This window comes from Homo sapiens, chromosome 14, assembly GCF_000001405.40.
Source record: "Homo sapiens chromosome 14, GRCh38.p14 Primary Assembly".
Taxonomy (NCBI): domain Eukaryota; kingdom Metazoa; phylum Chordata; class Mammalia; order Primates; family Hominidae; genus Homo; species Homo sapiens.
Genome location: NC_000014.9, coordinates 50,417,058 through 50,437,591, shown reverse-complemented (window position 1 = coordinate 50,437,591; position 20,534 = coordinate 50,417,058). Strand labels below are relative to the sequence as shown.

Below are 20,534 nucleotides of genomic sequence, written 5' to 3'. Positions count from 1 at the left end.
AATCATTGTGTTGTAACCACTACTGTAGAGTGCATTTATATCGTCTTACGTTTTCAGAAAATTCGCTTTAACAACAAAGATTCCTGATACAAAAGGCTGCCACAAATGTTGCATAGGTGAGTAAATGGTATTTCTCAAACTGAATGGTTAGAACTTTTAACATCTTTATAATTATCTGAAGAGTCGTATGGAATCAAATAGGAAGGAGGGTAGGTTTTTAAAATTTGTGTTTAGTAAGAAGTTAAGCTGCCATTGAAGTACAAGAATATAGACAGACATGGCATAGAAATGCTTAGAGATAATAACCTTAGCGTTTTCTCAGAGCATAGTGTTCCTAGAGTTTTTTAACCATAGTCCCTGAGGCTGTATCTTTGCTAATATTCTAACTTTCATTTATTTAATATTTGCCATCTACCAGTTACCACCCATGTTTTATGAACATGTTTACAGGAGTTGAGCCAACTATGCAGTTAGAGGGAACAGTTCACACAAGAACACCCTCACTTATGATACCAATTGCAAGTTAGGGGATTCCCAAAACTACCCCCAGAATAAAAAAATTCACTAGAAGGTATCACGGAACTGGAAGCAGTTATACTCATAGTTACGATTACAATTTAGAACAGGGAAAAAATATAGATTTAAATCATTACCGTTTAGAACAGGGAAAGAATATAGATTAAAATCATTACCGTTTAGAACAGGGACAGAATATAGATTAAAATCAGCCAAGGGAAGAAGTACATAGGGCAGAGTCCAGGAAAAATACCAAACATGGAGCTTCTGTTGTCCTCTCCCTATGGTTAATGGATGGCGTTACTTTTCCAGCATTGGTATGTGGCAGAACACACAACCATTGCCAACCACTGCCAACCACAAGCTTATTCGAGCCTCGATGTCCAGAGTTTTTATTGGGGCTTCATCACAAAGGCATGATTGATTGACCACCTTGCTGATCTCAGTATGCAGCCCCACTAAAGGTCATCTGATGTTACATGACCCAAAGCCCCCACCCAAAATCACATTTTTTGTATTTCTGGCATGATTGATTGACCACCTTGCTGATCTCAGTATGCAGCCCCACTAAAGGTCATCTGATGTTACATGACCCAAAGCCCCCACCCAAAATCACATTTTTTGTATTTCTGGCATGACCAGCCCTCACATTAAGACTATCTAGTGCAGCCAGTCCCCACCCTGAATCATTATTGTTATATTATCCAGTGACCAGAGTCCCCCAGACAAAGACAGTCCTGTCAAGCATGACATTCCAAAGGCTTAGCAATTACCTCCCAGAAGCAGGACAGAGACCAGACCTCTTTTTTGGGTGAGGTTAAGTTCTTTACTACATAATTATCTCATTTAACCCTTAAACAACTCCATAATACTGATTGTGTCACTAGTAAGTAACAGAGCTTAGGAATCAGATTCAGGTTCAATGACTTCAGATCTTAAGTTCCTAACTTCCTATTTATTCTTTTGTTTGATCAATGAATTTACACATTGATCTTTGTGCCACATAATAGTTTCACAGCATAGTCCATACTGTAAAACAAAAATGTTTAACCACAAATGTGCTATAAATATTATTTTTCTAGGGAGAATCATGTCAATATCTATTATCAGATTCCCAAGATCTGTGATGCACAAAAGGCCTAGAAACTTGGAATCTAAGATAAAAACTCATAAATAATACTTTAGAGTTTAATGCAAATAACTATTCTTATAATCAATGATTATAATTATTAATGGAAATCAAATTTGGGAGAAGGAAAGAGCAATATGAATTTTTATAGATTTGAGTCAAGATTACATCATGATAAATTAATACATACAAGATGAATTATTTTCATCTTAAGTAGACATCTGTACACTGCTATACCAAAACGAGGTGCATTTTAGTTGCCTCCTAGACCTTGTCAGAACTCATTCTTTGAGTTTACTAAGAAACAACTTTTTGGGGAGGCCAAGATGGGAAGATCGGTTGAGTCCAGGAGTTCAAGACCAGCCTGGGAAACATAGTGAGACCCCATCTCTTAAAAAAAAAAAAAATTGAAAAATTAGCTGGGCATGGTGGCATACACCTATAGTCTCTGCTACTCAGGAGGCTGATGTGGGAGGATTGCTTGAGCCTGGGAGATTGAGGCTGCAGTTAGCTATTACTGTGCCACTGCATTCTAGCCTGAATGACAGAGCAAGACCCTGTCTCTTTAAAAAGAAAGAAGGAGGACGGGAGGGAGTGAGGAAGGGAAAAAAACACCTTTTTAGGTTGCATGTTAGGTTGTTATTGTGCTTGTCAAAAGTTCTTATGTTTAACAACCTAGTATATGCAAGTTGTTTAGAAGTAAACATATATAATTTAAAATTGAGATAAGAAAGTAAAACGGAAAAGGCAATGAAGCCAAAAGAAAAGACACAGTCTTTTTTTATTTTCTGCCCACTCTTGTCATCCTGGTTAACAGATACAATGAAAGTATTCAGTATTTTGAGTGTGTCTGGGTTTTTTGTTTGTTTATTTCTTTCCAGTCAGAAACCCTTACACGGGACATAAATACCTCTGTGGAGCTTTACAGTCTGGAATTGTTTTACTTCAGTGGTATGAGCCAATGCAGAAATTCATGTTGATAAAGGTATATATTATTTTGTTCACATTTTTTTCCTTTAGAAAACACTAGTGTATAACTGAAGCTAAAATTAGCAGATCCCAATACTACTATCTAGGGTCAGAACATTTATAGTTATTTGTAGTTGTTTATTTGATTTAGAGGTTTTTGTGTTCTTAGGATTTACTCTTTAACTGATAATAAACTTCCAGAACCATCAGTCATAAAGATTAATATGGCTAATTATCTAAAACACATTTTTATAGAACATTCATCCTTCTTATCATCTTAGAGGTAATCCTTTTTAGAACTAGATAAATGAAGAAGATAGGAGTCTTTCTGTTGACTTTATTCAACAGTGGTATGAATGGGGAGATTGTTTCTGAATTATGGCTCTATTGTTTATTTTTTTTGCAGCACTTTGATTTTCCTTTGCCAAGTCCTTTGAATGTTTTTGAAATGCTGGTGATACCTGAACAGGAATACCCTATGGTCTGTGTAGCTATTAGCAAAGGCACTGAATCGAATCAGGTAGTTCAGTTTGAGACAATCAATTTGAACTCTGCATCTTCATGGTTTACAGAAATTGGTGCAGGTAAGTATTTTTTACCTTATGTTAGAATATTGATATTTTTGCCTATAAAAGAAGCAAAACACCACCTATAAAAGAAGCAAAACACCAGTGTGGGCTCTTTTAAATATTCAAAACATAGTTTCCCAAGTAAGCCCATAGAACCGTGTACGTATATTTATGATCTCTATTTGCCAGAGGTAGTTTGATACAAATTATTTAAACAAAGGAAATTTTTAATGATTCCTGACAGTGAAAAGTCTTAGTTCTTACCAGTGAATCTTTGGACTTGCTAAGTAAATACACTTTCTAAGCAGTTCTTAAAATTTTATCAACTTCTCAAGCCTCAAGCAAAGAGCTTCACTTATCCTGTTTTATCCTGTCTTCCCCGCTCACTTCTTAGAATCAGTGAATGTGGCTTTCAGACCTGAATAGAAGCTTCTTAGGTGTTGCTTCCGAGCCTTTCCATTTAAATCAGACATATCTCAGTGAAAGATCTGAAAAAAATGGGAAGTTTATTCCTAGACTTTAAAATTAGAACAAATCATTCAATAAATCATTTTTTAAATCTGCATAATATGTGAAGTGGGTGAGGTGGGGCCTCCATTTTGCTAGTTTCCTGTTTGTTGTGCTGGTGTATTTGGTCATTTATAATCCAGGTTTATTAGGCCATTTTTACATATGCCAAGCAAGCTTTAGTTATGGCTATTTCATTACTCACCACTGTTGTATTCTTTACTGCCTTTTGAAGAAGTCTGTTACATATATTATAAGTTTGATGCTTAATGCTTCTTATTAAATAACCTTTGGCTTTTGATCATTTATAGGCTAAGTTACAAGAACTCATTATAATATAGAACCTACGCTAAATTCACTTTCAACATAAGAATCAGTATGAACCAGTGATACCCTGGTAAATGTCTAACAACAGGCTCTTGAGGTGCAACCATTTGTTAGAGTTGCCTATTTTTGTGGTACAAATACTCCACCCATGGCCAATTTCAAACTACCAACCTGATGTCATTTGGCTTACAAAATTCCTGAAAGTTTAACTCAGTACAAGCCAGCTCCAGCATGCACTGGTCTATAAAACATACTCTTTATGGAAGAGGTCACATTATGTACCCTTCTACCTCCACCTGCACTCTGCCTTTTAAGTCTATTGATCAATGCTTTAAGTTGAGTTGGATGTATGCCTGCTGTTACAGCTAACAGAAAAGGTACAAATGCATTGCTTTATTATCGTGAGATATAAACTGCCCAAATAGAAATATTTCCCCAGGCTGGGCACAGTGGCTCACACCTATAATCCCAGCACTTTGGGAGGCCAAAGTGGGTGGATCACCTGAGGTCAGGAGTTCGAGACCGGCCTGACCAACATGGTAAAACCCCATCTGTACTAAAAATACAAACTTAGCCGGGCGTGGTGGTGCATGTCTGTAATCCCAGCTACTAGGGAGGCTGAGGCAGGAGAATCGCATGAACCTGGAAGGCAGAGGTTGCAGTGAGCCAAGATCGCACCATTGCACTCCAGCCTGGGCAACAAGAACGAAACTCTGTCTCAAAAAAAAAGAAAGAAAGAAATATTTCCCTGTTCTTATTGCTCAAAGGAAAGGTTATGGATCAGTTTATTTAAAGACAAGTTTTGGCTGACAGCCCAACTTTTTTTTTTTGCTCATCAGCATGGTATAAAGCATGTCATTTAATACAACTATTTAATGTATATTTGCGACCACTTTCTTCTGGATTATATATTAGAAGGTTATATTGTTCAAGGCAAGAGTTCAGTGAGTCCTGTTTTTGAGTTCCTTTTGGGGTATGTTTGAGTTTGCGTTTTTTTGTTTTTTTTTTTTTTTTTTTTGAGAGTTTTGTTGTTTGCTTTGTTTTTTAATGCGTGAGGTATGCTATTCTACCTACTTTTAACATTGTCTTGGCTAAAATTAAAGCAGACCCCCAACTACTGTCTGACCTGGGGTCAAGGCTGTTTAAAGACCCAGATTACTTCCTGAGGGAGTAAAGACCCAAATTACTGCCTGAGGGTAATCATTGAGGTCACCTTCAGGCAGAGGTGAGGCAATCTTTCTAGTCCAGCACTTTGTCCTCATTAGGTTTCCCCATTTTTACAAGTGATTTGTTAATCCAACTCCTAGCTGTGTTCATTGTTGAACAAACAGGCTATACCTTGAACTGGCAAGTTATAACATTAAAATAAACTCCTATTCAAGACTCTTTTAGGCTCAGTCTGATTTATTATTGCTATATCCTTATCTCCAAGGATGGTGCTTAGCATATGGTCAGCACTCAGTAAATATCTGTTGAATGAGTGCCTGAACATAGAGTAGCTAAGAAAAACTATTTTTGAAGTGTTACCTGAGGGACAGTTTATCGATTCTGTAGATATGGATTCTTCACCATGTATAAGCTTTAGAAGGTCCACAAACACCCCAAAATATTATATAAAATTCTGTGTTTATGTTTGAATGTGCAGTTTTCAAGGGAGACAATGCATAGGCTTCCCAAAGAGGTATAGTTAAGAAGGACTGCTCTGTTGGTGGGACTGTAAACTAGTTCAACCATTGTGGAAGTCAGTGTGGCGATTCCTCAGGGATCTAGAACTACAAATACCATTTGACCCAGCCATCCCATTACTGGGTATATACCCAAAGGACTATAAATCATGCTGCTATAAAGACACATGCACATGTATGTTTATTGCAGCATTATTCACAATAGCAAAGACTTGGAACCAACCCAAATGTCCAACAACGATAGACTGGATTAAGAAAATGTGGCACATATACACCATGGAATACTGTGCAGCCATAAAAAATGATGAGTTCATATCCTTTGTAGGGACATGGATGAAATTGGAAATCATCATTCTCAGTAAACTATCGCAAGAACAAAAAACCAAACACCACATATTCTCACTCATAGGTGGGAATTGAACAATGAGAACACATGGACACAGGAAGGGGAACATCACACTCTGGGGACTGTTGTGGGGTGGGGGAAGGGGAGAGGGATAGCATTGGGAGATATACCTAATGCTAGATGACGAGTTAGTGGGTGCAGCGCACCAGATGGCACATGTATACATATGTAACTAACCTGCACATTGTGCACATGTACCCTAAAACTTAAAGTATAATAATAATAAATAAATAAATAAAAAAGATAAAACCCATAGAAAAATAAGCAAAGTACTTAAAAACAGTATGTTTGTGTTGAATCTCATTTATAAACATGAAAGTATGTGAAAGAAAACTTGTATAAATCAGTGCAATGAAATATTTACCCAAAGAACATTTTAAGTTATATTGATTTCCACTATTTCCTAATTAGGTGAAAGTTACCGCCTTCAATTGCATGTTTGCCCGTGGCCTTGGGGAAACATGTACTTTTTACAAGGAAATGGGGGAAGCAGGCTCTGACTCTTAGGCTTCTAAGTAGGAATTCTGTTCAAGGAATAAGAAGAGAAAGGAATATGTTATTATGAATGCCCTCACTCCGGCAAACAGCTCTGCTCTTTACCACCCACTTTCAGTTTCCCTCACACAGTCATGAATGATGCTATCAAAATTTTTACCAGGCCCTAATTCTACTTTTCCTAATTTTGGTCACAGCTTGCCTGGATTTAGGACATAAAGAGCTTAGAAACTCTTAATTTTAATATTAGAAATGTAGCTCAGTCCTATATCAGAAAGTTTATAAAACCCTTTTAGATAATAATGATCAGTTATAATTTATTTTCATAGAAAAACATATTCTAAGATGCTCTATACAATTGTTTTTACACTGAATTGTTTTACTGAATGGTGCCTGTATTGAAGGCACTATCAGAAAGGGCACATTGAAGTTGAGGTAACTTCAAAAGGTAGTGAATACCTGCTATTTGGCAATCCTCTTTTCTGCCTGCCCCCAATCCGCCATTTGAAGGAAAAGTCATACAATGAATGCGTCTGTGTTAGGAAAAGTACTTTTAAGAATGTGGCCCTGTCTCAGTGCCCTAAGCTTGTGACCTCAGTGTCTCTAGAGAGTTCTGTATTAGAAATCACAGTGGCCAATTAGCAATTTTTCTTTAAAATTAGTGGTCACCAAGTTCTTTGTAAATATACAGCTAAATGAATGTAGTTGGGCATGTTTAACTCTTAAAAGTTCTAAGAGAATGAAAGGTAACCTAGATGACATTTTGTAATCAGAAAGAAGTACTTCTAATGGAGCAACTCAGGTTAAGGACTCTTCTGTATTTGTCTTAGTATATATGTGTTCATATATATATATGTGTGTGTGTGAATATGTTCAGAAGTATGAAATGTCTGTGTAGTACATTTATTATCACTATATTCCTTAAATCAGGTTGATTGGTGATGTTTTTAAAATTCTTCAATAAAAGCACATACATTTAAAAAAAAAAGGACTGCTCTAAATAATCTAAAATCTTTTCTTAGATTCAGCTAGACCATTGAAACAATCTGAGTGCTTAAAATGCATTGTTTTATCAAAAAAATTTTTAATGTTATTACATCTATCAGCAGATGTTAGAAGCAGCCCTTTAAATATCAGCAAAACGATGAGAGTTGTATCCTGCAAAGATGTTCTTGACAATATTGTTCATTATGTTACTCAGTGTCCTCTTTGTAAAAGAACTCCCACCCACCTGTAAACACATACCTATACCAGGAAAATTTCTGTCTTACTATAGATTTCATTGATCCTGTGCCCTTTTGAATCACTGGCTAATTTTTAATTTAGGTTTGCTGTGATTCACCCAATTCATCTTGTTTCTATCTCCCATTGGCTATATAAAATGCAGAGCAAAATCGAGCCATTGTGTATAGCATGCATGTTACTTTTCCTCCTCATATTTTACCTTTGCTTCATTTTATTTTTGTGATTCACCTTTGTAGATCTAGCTGAGGCTTTAATTAAAGGCAATACTGAGGTTTTTTTCAGCTGAGTTAGCCATGCTTAGGACATATTTGTCCTCTTAAATTGATTTACATGCATTTTTTGAAAGATAACATCACAAAATATAAATTCTGTGTTAAATTTCAAAGATCAATTTTAAGTCACAGCAAAAGTCAGAATTTATGTTTATTTTCTAGGCTCTAGGTTTTAAAAGTATAATTGTAACCTTGTTTTTTACTTCCTAAGGCAGCCAGCAGTTAGATTCCATTCATGTAACACAGTTGGAGAGAGATACCGTTTTAGTGTGTTTAGACAGTAAGTACTATTTTTAATTTTATTTTGAGTATACTACTTGATAAAGCAATTTTTTTATTCTGTTAAACCATAATTCAAGATTTTTACTGTTTTTACTAAAAATGTTACTTATCATGTGTAATTTGTAAGCGAAAAAAATCACCTCTTATGGCTAAATAGTTGAGCACCGAGGTAGCCATTTTTAAAGAAGCATACATTTTTAAAAATGAGAGTGTAAATATTCAGTATATACTATATAAAAAATAATAGCAGAATTGCCATTTGCCGATGGAGGCACTCTTACAGTATTTTTTGCCATTTGGCATACCTGACTCAAGATAAATAGTTGAACTTTATTAAGAATATTATTTGATATCCATGTAAAATCCACATATATCAAGTTACATTTATTTTAGCAGATTTGCATGTCCAGTCTTGACTTGTTTTTTTTTTTTAAGAATTTGTGAAAATTGTAAATCTACAAGGAAAATTAAAATCAAGTAAGAAACTGGCCTCTGAGTTAAGTTTTGATTTTCGCATTGAATCTGTAGGTAAGTTTCCTTTTTTTCATAAATCAGTTTGCGATACTTAATGATTATTAAAATTCATTCTGTACTTAGGGTTGTCTAGACCAGCACTGTCTCACAGAAATTTCTGTAAAGATAGAAATGTTCTACGCCTGTAATCCCAGCACTTTGGGAGGCCAAGGTGGGCAGATCACAAGGTCAGGAGTTCAAGACCAGCCTGGCCAACATGGAGAGAAACCCCGTCTCTACTAAAAATACTAAAATTAGCTGGGCATGCTGGCGGGTGCCTGTAATCCCAACTACTTGGGAGGCTGAGGCAGGAGAATCGCTTGAACCCGCGAGGCGGAGGTTGCAGTGAGCTGAGATCATGCCATTGCATTCCAGCCTGGGCAACAAGAGCAAGAAAAAAAAAAAAGATAGAAATGTTCTCTATCTGTGCTCTTAAATACAGTAGTGATTAAACATATATGGCTGTTAAGCACCTGAAACATGATTAGTGCTACATTTTCATTTTTTAGATTTTAATTCAAATTTTAATGTAAATAACAACATGTGGCTTCTTGCTCTCATATTGCACAGTGCAGGTTCAGACCATCATAAATCTTTTATTGTTTCCTGAATATTTAAAACTTGTAATCACTTTTAACATTTCTGTTCATTATTCCCTTTGCTGCATTAAGTGAATTATACTTCCCCCAATTCTTTCCCAGTCAGGAAGGTATTTGTGTGATGCGATAACAGTGTTAGATATGCCATAATTCTTTGCCATGTAAGATTCTGGGTGGTGTGTGTTGATATTACTGCTTTTGGAACTATTTTTATATAAATAGCTAGTTCTCACAGGACTTGTAAACTTTTATGCCATTTAATTTGCTTCCTTGTCAACGAATGTTTTACTCTCTAATACTCATTGGTTTTATGATGAAAATTATTACAGTTTATTATTGTTTGCATGCTCATTGATCATATGTCAGTATCTTCCCCAGGAGTGACAGAACTTGTGAAAAAAATGATGAATGGAAACATTTTTAAACATTTCATGATATGATTCTACCATAAATCAAAGGCACTAAAATGAAGTTGGTAATTTTTATTTGGGCCATAAAAAATAACATGTACTTTATAATTACATATTTTTAAAAACACGATTTTCATTACTTAGTTTTTTATTTTTAAGAAACATTTTAATATGTATTTCTCAATTGGAGTTTTATCCACAAAATGTTTGTGCCTCTGTGTGACATTTTACATGAAAATAGTTTGCTTATGATTGGGAAATTTAATTTATTAAAGCAGAAAACCTAAACTTTCTGTAAATGTCAGGACAAAAGAAATTTTGGAAACTAGTTTCTTCTTTTACTCCTTATATTACATGCCAATTTGGATTTAACATTTTTGAGAGAGATTCTGACATAGGAATCCTTAATTCCTCTTCACTTTCATTGAAACACACTGATACCTCAACTTTTTCAGATGTGCCAAATTATCTTCGTAATTTTAATTGTTACACAAAAGTTTGTTCCTCCTAGGCTACCATCTTTTCTTGCCAGTAAACCTTGGAATAATTACAGGAATCCTCCTGGGGAAAAAAAAATGCCTTTACAACACCTCTTAAAAATAAAATCAGTAACTAGGTTTTTTATTTGTCACAGTTAGTGAAACACATGTGATTTGTCATTGTCAAATACTTTTATTTTTATTGAGCTTAATTATGTTCCCAGAACATTCTTACATTAACTTTTTACAAAAAGTTAATAGTCTAATAAAACAGTTAATTTTCAGTTACTTTCCTCCATCACTTTTAATTATGCTTTTCTAACTCTAATACTTACTTGTAATGGTTAAATACTAAGAATTTTATGTAAGAATTGACTCACAGATCCTAAATATTCAATGTGTGGTTAAATGTTGGATTGTGGGGCAGGTTTATTTTATTTTATTTTTTATTTATTTATTTTGTTTGAGACGGAGTCTCGCTCTGTCGCCCAAGCTGGAGTGAAGTGACGTGATCTCGGCTCACTGCAGCCTCCACCTGTGGGGTTCAAGCAATTCTCCCGTTTCAGCGTCCTGAGTAGCTGGGGCTACAGGCACAGGCCACCACACCTGGCTAATTTTTGTATTTTTGTAGAGACAGGGTTTCACCATACTGGTCAGGCTGGTCTCCATCTCCTGACCTCAGGTGATCCACCCACCTCGGCCTCCCAAAGTGCTGAGGTTACAGGGATGAGCCACTGCGCCCGGCCAGGTTTATTTTTTAAAATTTCTTTTGTTACAGGGAAAATATGAACATAAAAAATGCTTGTTTAAAGCTACTTCTGAATATGTAACAGTATTTAAACAACAATGCTTTTAATGCAAAAACCCAGTTATATATGTTTTTATGATTTTATTCATTTAAGACAAAAGATACACTGTATCTTTTGTATGAAAGAAATGAATATGCCAACATCCACCTTATCAGAAGTTAGTTCATGTTTAAATGAATGGCTTTTATATGTATCTTTGAAGACTTGCATAACCCTACCTCAGTAAATTACTTGAACTTAGGCATGTCTTAGCCACAAAAATGTTGAGAAATCGTGGTCTAGACAGTGGAATTTTGCACTAGACACTTGAATAGGCTTATATTATTTATTAAAAGTAGAGAAAATTTATAGTGAAATGCTCTGTGCTTTATATTAGTTTCACTTCTCCCTTATCATTTTTAGTATGCCTTCAAGACAGTGTGTTGGCTTTCTGGAAACATGGGATGCAGGGTAAAAGCTTCAAGTCAGATGAGGTAAGCCTTCTCAGATTACCTCCACTGACTCCCACTAACAATTTTAAATGTCGAAGCACTCGTTTTATGCATTTCCTCTCTGAACCTACATTACTGTGTTTAGTGCTTTTAATACTATGAACTGGTAGAACAAAAAAGCCAGTATTTTCCCTTCAACTATGTTCACTTCTGTATCATAGTTCAAAATTCTCAGTGGCCACCAGGAATTGCAAAATATAAGTTCATGCAATTTCATTTATCTAATTTGTAATTTGTAAATATGGTTGCTAAGCTTGTAAAACTTTTCTAAATTTATTAAGTGTTTTCCATAATCTATAAATATCTGGCTTCTTTTTAAATATATTTTAAAATCTAAATTAATACATAATGGAGCATAAGAATAAGGGAATCTAAGAAAATTGACTCATTTAGTAACTATTGAGTACCAACTATGTTCAAGACACTATTATTGTAAATAATATCAAACTTTAAATAATACCTACTGTGTTCCAGGCACTTTACAAATATTTGCTTATTTCAGGCTCAAAATAATCCAGTAGAAGTAGATACTATTCATATTGCCATTTTTACAGCTACAGAGTGGTTAAGTAACTTGCCCAGAGTTACATAACTAGTGAAGTGGAAGAGTCTGGATTTGAAGGGTCTCTTTAAATCACTTCTAGCTGAGATAATTACGTCTCATGCAGGAGATGGGATTTGGGCCTCCAATTTGAGGAATGAGTCCTACTAGCTAAGATAATACTAACAGAGACATTTCACATTTACGTGAATACTTGTGTGATTCTTCTAACTATGGCCTAACAAGTTTGTGAACTTACTTAAAGCTCAAAAACTTCTTCTGTTTGCATTTACCTTTAGTTTTATCCACACTCTTACTTATATATAAATGAATATTCCTACCTCTTATATGAATGCAGAATTAGAATGCTTCCAGGAGGAAATGACATAAATCAGCTGTCTTTGAATATATAAGTTTATCTAGTTACTGATACGTGTCACTAAATGTCACCAAGTCCCTGCACTTGATGAAACCTACAGTCCTACTTATTATCATATGGTTAATTATTCTTAAATGCTATTTTCATTATGTCACTCCTATGGTTAGAAATCTACAGAAGGTCCTTGTTTCTTACTGTATCAAATATTGATTCCATTTCCGAAATATCTATTTTTAACTCTTTTTTTTTTTTTTTTTTTGAGATGGAGTCTCACACTGTCGCCCAGGCTGGAGTGCAGCGGCACAATCTCAGCTCACTGCAACCTCCACCTCCTGGGTTCAAGCGATTCTCCTGCCTCGGCCTCCTGAGTAGCTGGGATTACAGGCATGCACCAACACACCCAGCTAATTTTTGTATTTTTAGTAGAGATGGGATTTCACCGTGTTGGCCAGGCTGGTCTCGAACTTCTGACCTCACGTGATCCACCTGCCTTGGCCTCCCAAAGTGCCGGGATTACAGATGTGAGCCCCACACCCGGCCTATTTTTAATTCGTCTTGATTACCTTTTTTTCAGTTTATGTTCTCATCCTTCAACTTGGGCCTAGCTAAAGTCTTGACCTCTTTCATAAAGTAATACTCAGTCATTCCAGGCACAATGATTAGAACATCTCTGAACTTAATACTCTGAAAAATCAGCTCCAACTAGTATAACACCTAATTTATTTTCTGATTCAAGCTTATTAATTCTATTTTCCCAGGTAGACTGCAAACTCCTTGATACCAGACTTTTTTTTTTTTTTAACTTACTTTATATCTACAATATCTTAGTGTGGGTTCCTCTAAAAGTAGACCCTAAGACAAGGACTCAAATACAGATAGTGTATTTGGGAATAGATTCCAGAAGACAAGTGATGGAATGAGGAATGGAGAATAAAGAGGGGCAAAAAGCCAATAAAGAACACATTAATAAGCTAGTTCCCACTAAGAGCAACTGGGGCTTAATCCAGTAGGGACCACTGAGGAATGGGGTAAAATACACCTCAGAATTGACTCATTTGTAGATGACGAGGCTTGAGCATTTATGCAGCAACTGCTATCCCATGTTGGTTAAGGCCTGCCCCCAGGTATACAAACTGCGGGCACTTTGGCATAGTACCTGCACATGGCTGAGCACCCTCTGCAGCTTTGTAGAAAACAGAGTATACAGGGTCTTGCTCTGTTGCCCAAGCTGGAATGCAGTGGTGCAATCATAGTTCACTGTATCCTTGAACTCCTGGGCTCAAGCGATCCTCCTACTTCAGCCTTCTGAGCAGCTAGGACTACAGGCATGCACCACTGTGCCCAGGTAAAATTTTTAAATACTTCTGTAGATACAGGGTCTCACTTTGTTGCCCAGGCTGGTCTCAACTCCTGACCTCAAGCCTTGGCCCCCAAAGGAGCTCTGCAGTCCAACAAACCTGTATTCAAGTCTTGAGTCTACCCATTCTATGAGATTGAACAACTTATTTAACCTCTTGGAGTCTTAGTTTCTTCTTCAATGATATGAGAATTATAATGCATATCACAAAGAGTTCTTCTAAGTAGAGTACCTGACCCATACTAGATGTTCCATAAATGTGGGTTCATTTCTAATAATATGCAATCAAAAAACTTACTAAAATTTCTTTTATTTGAGGAATTAAGTCTACCAAAAAATATTTATTGTGTTAATAATTGCTCTAAATTAATTTTAAATTGTTATTAAGGCAATATGGGGAGTAAGATGTTACTGATAGGTATTTTTCTTTCCTAGGTTACCCAGGAGATTTCAGATGAAACAAGAGTTTTCCGCTTATTAGGATCAGACAGGTAATAGTTTGGTTGTATTAATTTAATTACCAAAGGAGTTCAAAGATCATACTCTTAATTATACTGTCAGTCTGTAATTGTTTCAAACAAAACTCTTAGAAGCTCATTGACTTAGATACATTTCTCTGTGTCTTTACTGAGAGAATTAGTAATATTTTAATAAGTTAACTAAGCAACCTTTTGTCAGTGTGAGGATTGTTATTCTAGAGACAGTTATATTCAACTGAGACAAAATGTGTTGATATAGATGTTGATGTCCCTAGTACTATGAGAGCTATTTCGGGCCCGTTTGTCTTCATTTCTTCATGGTGTGCTGCCTTCCATTAACTATTAGGAATATGTACCTCTTGATGATATTTGCTTTTATATTAGAAAATGCCTGGTTCAGTTTCTAAAGTTAATCTAAGTTAAAAAGAATTATATGGTCTCTTTTTACCCCAAATAAAAGACAAGTTGCAAAACTGTCATCTTATGAAAAAAATGTAGTAGCTGTAGCTTTTGATTTCCAAAATCTACTGCCTACTTCTTTTTTTCTTTTTTTTTTTAAGACGGTCTCACTCTGTCGCTCAACTGTCTACTTCTATAGCTAATAAAATACCCATTCCTTCCTCTTTTCCCACCAAAAGTTGTTACTAAAGCAAAATTGGCTATAGTGGTATGCATTAGTCCTGAGACAAGGATTGGGAACCTCTGGTCTTCAGGTTCACATTGCTTAAGTTTTAGATACTTGAGGAAGGAGGGGGAAATGGAGTTATAACTCCATAAAAATTTTGAAGAGAGTTTTATAGGAGAACAGGAATTTTCAAAAAGTGATGACTACCTTAGTGAATAGAAAAGGTAAGCCCACAAAGCATGGCAACTTAGTAAGTCGTCCAACCAACAAAAAGAGAATTTGAGGATCATCTGGTAAATGACTCTAGAACTAAAATGAGAGGCTCTTTGCTTCTCCAGGAAGGGCTGAGAAAAGAACTGTGGGCCGGGCACAGTGGCTGATGCCTGTAATTCCAGCACTTTGGGAGGCCGAGGCAGGTGAATCAGCTGTCTCTACTAAAAATAGAAAAAGTAGCCAGGTATGGTGGCGTGTCCCTGTAATCCCAGCTACTCGGAAGGTTGAAGCAGGAGAATTGCTTGAACCCAGGAGGCGGAGGTTGCAGTGAGCCAAGATCGCACCACTGCACTTCAGCCTGGGCGACAGAGCAAGACTCTGTCTAAAAAAAAAAAAAAAAGAATTGTGGATCATCCATTGATCCTGGTGTAGATAATCCTTTAATGAAACCAAGTGTGAGAGAATTCAGCTTGGTAGAGGGTTGGCATCAGAGGCCGTTTCTCTGGGTTGCTTGTTTCCTTCTACCTACTCTGCTCAGAGCTTTGTGCATCACTTTTCCCTTCCCTGTTCGTATTCTCTGTCCACTCTATCACTATTTGCTCTGAAAAACTACTTCCTTCAGACTGTTGCCTTGCTCTGCTTGTCTCTTACATGGGCATCTCCTTGTTTTTAAGATACATATCTAAACAGAGTTTTTGTTTTATCTTTACAAGTGGTTAAAAATTTATTTTGTTGCCGGGCGCGGTGACTCATGCCTGTAATCCCAGAACTTCAGGAGGCCGACGCAGGTGGATCACCTGAGGCCAGGAGTTCGAAACCAGCCTGACCAACATGCAGAAACCCTGTCCCTGCTAAAAATACAAAAAAAATAAGCTGGGCTTGATGGTGCATGCCTTTAATCCCAGCTACTCGGGAGGCTGAGGCAGGAGAATCACTTGAACCCAGGTTGCGGAGGTTGCAGTGTGCCGAGATCACGCCATTGCACTCCAGCCTGGGCGACAAGAGCAAAACTCCATCTAAAAAAATAAAAATAAAAATAAAAAAATTATTTTGTTGCTTAAGTATAGATACTTGTGTCTAGGAAAAAAAAACTAAGCATGTCAAAATTTTAATAACAGTTAACTCTGGGCAGTTGGATTATAAGTAATTATATTTTCCTTTTCTACTTTTCTGTAATGCCTAATATAAAGTATCTATGATTTTTAAAAAATGTTTTCATTATTAAAGTAATAACATGCTAATTATAGAAAATTCATACACTAGAAAAATAAGTGTTATGTGCAGTTTTTTTTCTCCCATTCCTCCTCTAGAAACTTTTTTCTCTGCATGGGTATATTATTTTTTATTTTGTTCTCAAACTCTCTTCCCCACAACTAAAATGTTTGGAATAGTACTTCTTTTTTTTTTTCCTATCAGTCCTTTGATTGAACTCTTTCTCCATTTTTGTTCCAGCAACTAGGGAGAGGGGCCCCATTTCATACTATTTTTAAAAAGCTATTTCAAATACCTTGAAGAACAGTTTGGACGAGTGTCTCTTAGAGTCCTATTTTATTCTCTTGGCTCTTCCTCCATCCTCTTCCTGTTAGTGAAATCCCTAAAGTATTATATTATACCTTTTGTTGGCATAAATGAGTAAGCAAATTTTGTTTGTTGTTTTTTATTTGAGAAGGGGTCTCACTCTCTCACCCAGGCTGAAGTGCAGTGGCACAATCACAGTTTCCTGCATCCTCAAACTCCCGGGCTCAAGGGATCCTCCTGCCTCAGCGTCCTGAGTAGCTGGGACTACAGGTGCAGGCTTCCACACCCAGCTAATTATTATTTTTTTTTGTAGAGTTGGGGTCTTGCCATCTTGCTCAGGCTGGTCTCAAACTCCTGGGCTCAAGCGATCCCCCTGCCTCAGACTCCCAAAGTTCTGGGATTACAGGTGTGAGCCACCACACCTAGCCCAGATTTTTTAGTTGGAATAAGATAATGAGTCTATCCCAAAATGTCTTCAATATTTTATATTCATCAATTCTTATTGTGTTTTAAAGCTGTAAAATGTAAAGCTGAATTTGATTGTGCGTCTGTGATCCTTACGTAATCTTACTGAAATGTGAACAATGATATTCTTTCCTAGTTTGATGTTAGTATTTGATGTATGAAATCTGTAGTTACTCTTAAGCCCTTTGTTTTGGTTTAATTACAGGGTTGTCGTTTTGGAAAGTAGGCCAACAGAAAATCCTACTGCACACAGCAATCTCTACATCTTGGCTGGACATGAAAATAGTTACTAAGCAACAGAAACTGATCTCAAATGACAGGAAAATGAATATACTCCATTGAAAGGAAAAATAAGGAAATTCAATACAAACTGCACTATGATTTGCTTTAACTATTATGGGTTATATTGCAAATGATCTGTACTTTAGGGTAGAATTCAATATTTTCTGCAGCTGGAAACAGCTAGTCTATCTCTTGCCACTGTGTGGTGGTTATATCAAGTTTGCTTAATAAAAGCTATGAGACAAATAGTCCTCTAGTTCCAGGAAACACAGTCTTTTTTTAAAAAAAACAATGTTTGTAACAAGGGTGCCATGGTATTTTTAGATAACTCGTGATTATCTTAAGAGAGGTAAATTTAGTGATCATTTTATATCATGTCTTATTCCTTCTTAATGAACATAATTTGTTAAATTCTCAAGCAAGGTTTTCACTTTTATATTGGCCATTCTGTATGTTTTTGTAAAACAGAATATTTAATCCTTATTTATTAATCTCTTGCTGGAGTGGTGTAATGTATCTAACTTTTAGCAAAGGAGGGTTGCAGAGCAGCTTAAATTTTTTTTATAATGTATAAGAATTTTGTTTATCTTTTAAGAGTAGTAAAGTACTTTGAGTGTTTGGGGGTTCAACACACACATGCAATTTTGCTTAACAAAAGTATTTTATAATACAGTTTCATACAGAATTACCTTAAAAGGGAGTCTTATGTTTTCAACTACAGATAGTTGTAAGGGATCATACAGAAGATATTGATGATAGTTGAAATATTCTTAGAAGGGGTGTGTATGTCTAGCTGTGTCTACCATGTGTATGTATTCTTGACAAGCAGTATAAAATACCTGTGATTTTTCTTTACATTAGGGATAATGCATAAGGAATTAATCTTCATATATATTATCATCCCTAATGTAGCAGGGGGAAGTATTTAATTGCCCATGATATGTATTTTACTTATACTATGCCAGAGAGGAAACTATAAAGTAATTACACATGTAATCTTGGGTTTTTCACATATGTAGGTATTCATTTTGAGTAGGTTGAAGAAGAAAAAAAATATTTAAATGAATTGAATTCCTGATGGGATAGTATCAATAAGTATTTAAAAGCCAGTATTCTAAAAATAATAAAGGGTAGGGTCATTTTTGAGTTTGTTTTTCTTTTGCTATTGTTAATATTCAAAATTAAAGTGTTACATTGGTACCTGTTGTCTTAATGCATTTATTGAGAACAGCATTGAGATGATGAACAAGGGGTTAGCAATAGCAAACTCTATAATTATTTTGACTAATTACTTAAGAGGAAAACAGTATAAGTATCTCATTCAGTATTTAGCAATTCTGTAAAATAAGTATTATCTCTATTTTTCAGATGAGGAAGTAAGGGTTTAGCAAGGTTAAGAGATCTATCCAATTTACACAGCAAGTTAGTAGTTGAGCCTGACCATGAGTCTTCTGACTCTGTTCTTTTCACTATGCAATACGCAAACAATAAAATGTTATACAAATGGAATATAAAGTTATTTATTCTTTAAAAATGCACATATGATATGATTTCAGTAAGTGTGTGGCTGTTTATTTTGGCTATGTTAAGAATACGGGATACAGTAGATGACAGGGGAACCATCCTCAAAACAGGGGACATTTACATGATGGATAAGAAAGCCAGAATCCTCCTTTTCTTACTGAATCCTGGCAGCCAGATCTTTACCATCCCATGGTGGAATACCGAAGAGTCTTCTCTGTGAAATCTGACCAATGCAAGTGAAAAGGCCTCATTAAGATCTTGATGTCAGACATGTCCCGGCTAAACTGCCCAGCTAGATGACACTACAGTGAAAATCATAGTTGGCAATCCCACCATCCCACGCATTATGTCTAGACCTTGCAGTTAGTCTTTTAGTCCTGTGCTCTTAAAAATGAGCAAACAACCAAGGATTACAAATAAATGAAAGAGAAAAAACAGTCTGGGGAAAACAGAGGAAACAGGCTATGAAGGGTAAGGAGAACATCAAAAGAAAAAGTATTTTCAGAAGGATGTTGCAACCATGAGTGAGTCAAGGGCAGGGTACTTTTAAAAAGTTGGGTTTCAAAAAAACAAAAAGAGCTCTTAGAAAATAATATGACAGCATAGCTGAATAATTCAACTAGATGGCTTAGAATATAAAGTTGAAATTTCTCAAAAAAAATTTTTAAATGGAAAATGTTGAAAAAAGTTAAGAAAATTGACAGCCCAGGAGGTCTAATATGTAATCTCCCAGAGTTCCAAAAAGAAAACAGAAGAAACCATTAGAGTGTTTCAATAATTTTTCCAGTATTAAAGAATATCAGAGTCTAGATTGAAAGAACACAGTGGATGAAAAAGACCTTTACCAAAGCACATCATTACGAAATTTCAAGGACACCGGAGTCAAAAAGAAGATCTACATTTCCAGAGAAAAAGGTCAGGTCAGATACCAAGGAATAAGACTCAGGATACCTTTATTTTTATTTTTTGAGACAGGGTCTTGCTCTGTCACCCAAGCTGGAGTGCAGTGGCACAGTCTCGACTCACTGCAACCTCCGCCTCCCAGGCTCAAGCCATCCTCCTGCCTCAACCTCCTGATAAGCTGGGACTACAGGCGCCCACCACCATGCCCAGCTAAATTTTTTTGTATTTTTTATAGGGTTTCACCATGTTGCCTAGGCTGGTCTCAAACTCCTGTCTGCCCACCTCAGTCTCCCAAAGTGCTGGGAGTGCAGGCGTAAGCCACTGCATCCAGACCCGAATAGCTTTAAATTTCAACAGAAGCAATGCCTTCAAACTTGTGAAAGAAATTTCCAACCTAAAATTCTGTATCTGACTAAATGTAACATAAAAGTCAAATGAAGAGTATAAAAAAATTTGCCTCCTATATATCCTTTCTCAAGAAGCTACTAAAGGATGTGCTTCATAAAAAGGGCATAAACCAAACAAAATGACATAGGATGCAGGAA

At 36.0% G+C, this 20,534-nt stretch overlaps 1 protein-coding gene across 14 annotated transcripts in view; it reads left to right on the top strand.

Annotated features, from left to right (window-relative positions):
• MAP4K5 (mitogen-activated protein kinase kinase kinase kinase 5) overlaps positions 1–19,071 on the top strand; it is a 142,606-nt gene extending 123,535 nt beyond the window's left edge. For all 14 annotated transcript variants that reach the window (XM_047430898.1, XM_047430897.1, XM_047430893.1 and 11 more), the window contains 8 exons: positions 58–116; positions 2,527–2,630; positions 3,021–3,198; positions 8,332–8,400; positions 8,838–8,930; positions 11,615–11,685; positions 14,416–14,471; positions 17,486–19,071. In XM_047430898.1, the coding sequence (XP_047286854.1) occupies positions 58–116; positions 2,527–2,630; positions 3,021–3,198; positions 8,332–8,400; positions 8,838–8,930; positions 11,615–11,685; positions 14,416–14,471; positions 17,486–17,573 (718 nt within the window). In that variant the 3' untranslated portion in view covers positions 17,574–19,071. The remainder of the gene's footprint in view (positions 1–57; positions 117–2,526; positions 2,631–3,020; positions 3,199–8,331; positions 8,401–8,837; positions 8,931–11,614; positions 11,686–14,415; positions 14,472–17,485) is intronic.
• Positions 19,072–20,534: the final 1,463 nt, after the last annotated feature.